Source organism: Homo sapiens, chromosome 1 (genome assembly GCF_000001405.40).
Source record: "Homo sapiens chromosome 1, GRCh38.p14 Primary Assembly".
NCBI classification, from domain to species: Eukaryota; Metazoa; Chordata; class Mammalia; order Primates; family Hominidae; genus Homo; species Homo sapiens.
In genome coordinates this window covers 13,863,287-13,871,306 of record NC_000001.11, presented here as the reverse complement: position 1 = coordinate 13,871,306, position 8,020 = coordinate 13,863,287, and positions in this window count along the sequence as shown.

Below are 8,020 nucleotides of genomic sequence, written 5' to 3'. Positions count from 1 at the left end.
ACCTTCACATGTACCCCAAACCTAAAATAAAAGTTAAAAATAAATAAATTAATAAAAATGTAAAGACCATTCGAGAGCCATGGGCCATATTTGGCCAATGTGTGCTGGTTCTAGTCTAGTTGGTGGCTTACTTGCTCACCCATGAAACACAGTGACCACAATGCTCACTCGCCTTCCCAGCCAACTCCCCCCCAGGAAGGAAACTGTACGTGGTCAGGAGCACGCAGAGGAAGCACAGACAGGAATCCTGCTCTAACAGGAGGTATAGGGAGCAAGGTTAACAGCTGTAGAATCAGACCCAGGACAGAATTCTGTTATTTCCTGCTCTCTATTTGTGTAGCTCCCAGCAATTTGGTGAACTTTTCTAAATCTTGGTTTTTATCTTATGAAAAAGGGGTGCATCCTGTCTCATGGGGTTGTAAGGATTCCATCAAATACCCTGTGCACAGTAAGAAACTTAAACAAATTTACAAGAAAAAAACAACTATAAAAAAGTGGGCAAAGGACATGAACAGATATTTTTCAGAACAACACATACATGTGTCCAAACAAGCATATGAAAAAAAACTCAACATCACTGATCATCAGAGAAATGCAAATCACAACCACACTATGATACCATCTAACACCAGTCAAAATGGTGATTATTAAAAAGTCAAAAAATAACAGACGCTGGCAAGGTTGTGGAGAAAAAGGAACACTTATATACTGTTGGTGGGAGTGTAAATTAGTTCAGCCATTGTGGAAGACAGTGTGGTGATTCGTCAAAGACCTAAAGACAGAAATACCATTTGACCCAGCAATCCCATTACTGAGTATATACCCAAAGGAATATAAATAGTTCTGTTATAAAGACACATGCACATGTATGTTCATTGCAGCACTATTCACAATAGCAAAGACGTGGAATCAACCTAAATGCCCATCAGTGATAGACTGGATAAAGAAACTGTGGTACATATACACCATGAAATACTATACAGCCACAAAAAAGAACAAGATCATGTCCTTTGCAGGACACAGGAGGCCATTATTCTTAGTAAACTAACACAGGAACAAAAAACCAAATACCGCATGTTCTCGCTTACAAGTGGGAGCTAAACGATGAGAACCCATGGAAACATAGAGGGGAACGACACACACTGAGGCCTTTTTGAAGGGTAGAGGGTAGGAGGCGGAGAGAATCAGGAAAAGTAACTAATGGATACTAGGCTTAATACCTGGGTGAAGAAATAATCTGTACAACAAATCCCCATGATACAAGTTTACCTATGTAACAAACCTGTACTTGTACTCCTAAACTTAAAAGTTAAAAAGAAAGAAAGAAAGAAAGAAAGAAAGAAAGAAAGAAAGAAAGAAAGAAAGAAAGAAAGAAAGAAAGAAAGAAAGATGCTATTCAAAGCACTTATTCAGAGCCTGGCACATAGCAATAGCTTAATGGTGCTGGCTGGTCACACAGAGAAGGAACAGGACAGTTTCATTTTTTTAATGTCAATTTAGATATAACTGTGAAGAATATACGTATGTTCTATAAATGTACATTTACGGAATGTACATACAGAACAATATACGTACAAAACAAGTTTGCCATTCCCTGATATAGATGAAGAATTACGTTTGATTTCCCAGATAAGAATGACTTCTCAGCTCTTCCAGGAGGTGGGAGGAGACAGGACAAGTTTCCCGTGGCAGATCACCAGGGCAGCTAGAATGCATGGGGTGGCCCCCTGCTGACTTTTTACTTAGCAGAAACTCAGCTGGGTTTTTCTCTTCATGCTCCTTTTCCATTCATTCTGCTTAACTACTAACTTAGCTCTGCATTCAGACTAAGGGGCTCCTACGTTGCAAACAATCCCCTTTAAGTTACTCCTTATCAAGAGTCTTGGTTTGCCACCATTCCACAGCCCTCTCTGCCACACTGAGCAGATGGCCCTTGGCTTTGACAGATAAAAAAGTCTAAAAGCTTTGGGATGATACAGCTGGTTGGGCCAGATTATCCTTGAAATGACCACTAGCAATTTTTAAAGGATATTTCACTTTCAAGAACTGCAACAATTATTTAAGGTGAGAAAAACTCCACTTACAGATAAGTGGTGGAAAGTTCTAGAATTATCCACAAAAAGCGAGTAGGAGGAAAGAGTGTAGCAGATGAGATCCCAGATCCCTCCTTCCAGAAAGGGCTGGCTGCTGGGCTGCTATTGGTGCTAAAGTTCCTGCAGGATGGCCTCAGCTGCAGAGAGGCCAAAGGGCACATCCCTCCTACTCCCACCCTCCTCCCGCTGTCCCCACGAACCCTCCACTCCTCATATCTAAAGATGGCCTGGCCATTCTGGCTCTACGTGGGGCACTCCAACAAGTCATTTCAGCTTCCAGGAAACCTGTGGGGTCAGCCAGGCTGTGGGTCCTTCATGGTAATGAACTTCTCCCTCTGTCCAGTCCTGACTCTACCTCCTCCCTAAGGTGGGCCCCAAGAGCACTTCCCTAAAACCTCCCTTAGTATTAATTCTGGCCTGAAGTCTACATCCCGGAGAACCCAGATGGTGACAGTGGGGCAGCTAAGAGCGTCATCTCCAGAGTCAAACTCCCTGGCCAGGAGGGGCTGGGCCACACAGTGTGAAACTCTGACCTTTTGCAGGCCTCAATCCCTCACCTAGAAAATTATCAGCACCTTTTAATGGTAGGGCATAAATCAAATCCAGGTGCTAGGTCTCTAGGATAGTGCCCACCCTGAGAAGAGTAACTCAGTCATGCCAGGATTCCAGAAGGAGGTTCCTGGGGCCACAGCCCGCTCCTCCTGGATTTGTCCCTGAGAGCTGAGAAGTCTCATAGGCACACTAGGAGCCAAGGAGGAAGGAACCTAAAACAGCACAGAAAAGTAGGCCACAGGGGCCTGTAGCTGCAAGACGCATGTCCAATGCACGTGTTTTTGTACAGCGTGAGGCCTCCTCCAACCAGCCACAGGACACTGTGTAAAAAAGGAAGAGTCCCAGTACAACACAGAAAGGAGATTGAGTGCCACACATCTATCTTCCCTAGTGCTGCACAAGGTCAAGCATGGAAAGGGCACTTGAATATCTAATGAGCGAAGAAATAACTGGGGAGACGGGGAAGTGATGGCTAAGATTAATTCCTGCAAATATCTGTGCCAGATGTTCTTCCAGGTACAAGGGATACAGCTGTGAACAAGATGACCCATGCCTTCATGGAGCTAATAGTGTAACAGGGTGGACATAGATTAAACAGGCAATCACAGAAGCATAATTGCAAGGGACAAGTGCATCGTCCCCACAAAGGGCATAATGAGATTGATAGGGGTACCCCTGTAGACTCAGCGGTCAGAGAAGTGTTTAAATCAAGAGAGTGGCATTGAAGCGAATACCTGCATGATTGGTTAATTAGCTGGTTAAAGGGGTAGGCTTTGGGGGTTGCAGGAGGACAGGCAGGACACGTGCTAAGGAAAGGACATGCAAATATGTTCTGGGAACCGAAAGGTGTCACTGTGGCTGGAGCATAGCCAGAGGTAGAGTGGCCGGAAGTGATGCTGGGACAGGAGGCAGCAGCTGGACCACATAGAGCCTCACAAGCCATAAGTCTTTCGGGTTTTCTGTAATGCACAATGGGCAGGCTTTGGAAGGGTCAATCCAAGTAGCATCCTGATTTAAGTTTCAAACAGATATCCCCAGCTGCAGAAGAGAGGATGGGCGATAGTAAGGCAACAGGAGGAGCAAAGAAAGTCATTCTGATGATCGTAGCCCCAGCCAGGGTGGTCAGGAAGAAATGGAAAGACAGACAAATGTGATCCATGTGGGATCTGTTTCAGAGATAGAATAAAGAGGGGGAAGAAAGAATATTATGAGTGACTTCCAGGCTTTTAAAGCTGGCAAATGAGAGGATGCATGAACTATTTAGTGAAGGGGGAACATATGAAGGAGGAACTTATAGACTGGGTTGAACGGTAACCCACCAAAAAATCCATGTCTGCCCGGAAACTGTGAATGTGACCTTATTTGGAAATGAGGTCTTTGCAGATGTAGTCAGGTTAAGATGAGGTCATACTGGATTACGGTGGGCCACATCCCCCCTACATCAAATTAGGATATGACGCTAACTCAGTAGCTAGTGCCTTTGTAAGAGGAAGGCAATCTGGACACAGGGACACACAGGAGAAAGGCCACGTGCAGATGGAGGCAGAGATTGGAGTTGCATAAGGGAAGGAGCACCAAGGATTGCTGGCCATCACCAGCAGCTGGAAGGGTCAAAGAATGACCCCCCTTTAGAGCTTTCGGAGGGAGCATGGCCCTGCTGATACCTTGACTTAGGACTTTTGACCTCCAGAAATGTGAGAGAATAAGTTTCTGCTGTTTTAAGCCCCCCAGTTTATGAAAATTTGTCGTGGCAGCCCTAGGAAACTAACATAGCCCTTGAATTCCAGAATATGGAGCCAGCTGTTCTCTAGAGCACAAGTCTCAGTGGGGCCTCCTCTACCCCATCTCCAGGCAGACCTGGCTCTCACTGACCTCTTCAATGAGGGTAGCTACAAGAGTAGCTACTACCCAGGGAGAGAGCAGTTGCAGGATTTTTGTGTATAAGTAACTTAGGGCACTACAGCTTCAAAAAGCCTCCTGCCCACACAAGCGCACATGGGTGTAAGGAAGTGGCATTACAAATGGCACAGGGTGGTAAAGGAAGTGATGGTAAGAAGCTGGGAGTAGGATACCTAAGCACTCTGCAGGGCCATGGAGGACTCTTGGAAGAGACAATAGCAGGCAAACTTTTACAGAGTGGAAAAGAAGAGGAGCTGGCTAGGAGGAACGGAGTGATCCTAAGGAGCATAAACAAAGCTTCAAAGACGAAAAAAGAGCATGGTGGGCTAGGAGGGGCATGTGGCATGGAGCAGGTGGAACAGAGCAATGGGCCAAGGTGAGAGGGCCACCCAGGCCATGGTCACATGCTCAGACTCTGTGCAGCTGTGATGGAAGCCACCCAAGAATTAGCCATGAACAGGATATGGGCACGCTTGCATTTTTATGGCTACACACAAGATAGATTCGACTTATTTTTACTTAATGCTCGCTATGTTGACCCCCTAATTGCCTGATGTGTTCTGTAGGATCCCAGGAGGGTCCAACGTTAATTTTTCCTGATTTTTGTTTCAGTTTGAGTGCAATAGTCCCCAATATCACTACATAGCAGTTCCCCCCAAATAATACAAAATATCTTGAGTCCTGATCACTTAACAGGGTGACAAGTACCAGCTGGAGGGAACTGAGGCTCATTAAAGTGAAGGATTTTGGCTAAACTTTCAGTGCACTCATATCTTCACCCATTACCAGAACTACAATCATTCTTAGGGCAGCAAATGAAATAAGCTTTTTCTTCTACTCATCATGGGATTAGATATGGTCCTCGGTCCAGGACTGAAAGCCAATAACTCACTTAGAAGCACCACCAAATGACTGTATTTGGGTATCAGGCAATGACATCCCAAGAAGCTCAATAATACCCAAATTCACTGAGGACCCAAGATGAGCCCATCGTTCAGGCAATCCCCAGCTCAAAAATAGGTTAGTACTAAAGGGTTACTTTTTACTTTTTATTTCTATTTATTTATTTTTTTTGAGACAGAGTCTCGCTCTGTTGCCAGGCTGGAGTGCAGTGGTGCAATCTTGGCTCACTGAAACCTCCACCTCCCAGGTTCAGGTGATTCTCCTGCCTCAGCCTCCTGAGTAGCTGGGACTATAGGCATGCACCACCACGCCCAGCTAATTTTTGTATTTTTAATAGAGACGGGGTTTCACCATGTTGGCCAGGTTGCTCTCTAACTCTTGACCTTGTGATCCGCCGGCCTTGGCCTCCCAAAGTGCTGGGATTACAGGCATGAGCCACCGCACCCAGCCCAAGGGTTAGTTTTTAAAAGCTTTCTTGAGCTATCATTCACATATGTGCAAGTTACCCATTTAAACATACAATTCAATAGTTTTTAGTAAATTCAGAGTTATGTGGCTAACACCACTTCTTCATTTTTAAGAAGCTCAGAATTCACAACACAATTCAATGGGTATTTTTGGATATTGTAGACCCCTATTGGTTCCTAAAAACCAGGGACCCTCTCCTCCAAAAAGTTAGCATGCGTGCCTACACACAAGCACATTTTACACACAGCTTCCCAGGGAGTTCTGGTTCCCCAGAACTAGTTAAATCTCCTTAACCAAATTCTAGTAGCGGGCAAAGTGGTTTCTCGTTCATGTTTACATGAAACTGCCTGAAACTGCCTCCCTACCCCCACAGTAATGAGCTCCTCAGAGAAAAGTACTCAAGCTTGAATGTGCCCAGTGGGAATGGATTGGCCACACTGACTCACTTTACAGGCCCATCTCCAAGTGCTGGTGACTTTGCTCACTGCTGACACTTCAATGCGAACTGCCAGCTCCAGGGCCAAGAAAGTAGAAAATGCTCTTCGTGGCCAGTCCTCGATAAACTGCTATAAGCAAAAGACATACAAATTGTTTTCTCCCCTAAACATTATAATCAAGCTGATGGGTCAAGAACAAATACGCAGTCTAGAATTCAAGATTTCCAAAGTTCTAAGATGCACCAATAAACAGAGTTCAGTGGGAAGAATGATACCTACCTGATTGTAGAGGGATCTTTATATATAAGACACAGGCTTCTGGCTAGTGAACAAAGAGAAGTTATTGGAAGGAAACTGGGAATTTGCAGAACCCACATGAAGTTAGGGAAACCTGGAGTGGAAATCAGCAGTTTGGTGGGCCTGCCCACTTCTGGCTGCGTGGAATCCAAAATCAGTGGCCGGGTACGTGACCCAGTCTTGGCACACCCTCCATCCCACTTGACACTTTGAATCTGCAGAGAGTGGTAGAGACAAAAGGACAATTAAGAATAATCCCACCCCATCTCTACTAAAAATACAAAAAATTAGCCCGTCATGGTGGTGGGTGCTTGTAGTCCCAGCTACTTGGGAGGCTGAGGCAAGAGAATGGCATGAACCCAGGAGGCAGAGCTTGCAGTGAGCTGAGATCACATCACTGCACTCCAGCCTGGGCAACAGAGCAAGACTCCGTCTCAAAAAAAAAAAAAAAAGAGAATAATCCCAAAGTAGCTATGGGGGTGGTTTAATGACATAGCAGCATGTGTCAGCAGCTGCAAATTTGTTCTGGTGGACTGTTTCTATTAAAATCTGATTTTCATGCTTCCTACTTCTTAACACTCTAGAGCATGTTTGGTTCATGCCCAGGTTCTAAGTCTGGTCCTTCAGCCTCCCACCAATTTCTAGTTTCCATATCCTTCCAATACATTCCTTGCTCTTACTTGAGAAAGCCACAGTCAGTACTGTAGCTTGCAGCCAGAACCCTAATTGGTACAAGAACATCTAAGATATCTCTAGGGACTTGGAAGCAGAGACTGCAGAAGCCAACTATACTTATAAAGCATAAGTATCTGATCAGTGAACAGCAGCTGAGATGCATGACTGCCAACCATTTTTTCTGGTGTTGCATCACTCTCAGAATTCAAAGTCTCAGACAAGGGCATCTGACTGACAGAGTTTGGGTCTCCTGCCTACTCCCAGGCTGTATTAGGATGGCATGAGGAAGGAAATGCCCTCTCAGCAACTAAACAGGATGGGAAGAACTGACCTGACTTGTCCTAGCTAAAGCACCCACACAGGGGAAGAAGTAATCCCTGAAAATATCAAGAAATTGTTAGGAAGAGAATATGAGTGCTGTGCTAGCACCATTGCCAGAGTCTATTACACATAATGAAAGTTCATCCTTTGAAAGACTATGAAGCAATTATTCTCCCTATAGTATCCAAGCAAAGACAGGTGCTATATCCTCCAGGTAACTCTGGGCTGAAAACGTATTTCAATAGCTGCAACACATAAAGACTGACCTCACATGCAGAGAGGACTCCAGACATTGATTATATCCTATGCCAGAAACAGGTTCCCAGGGGGCTAGGCTGGAAAATGGAAAAGCTACAAGAAGTAGAATTCCCTAAT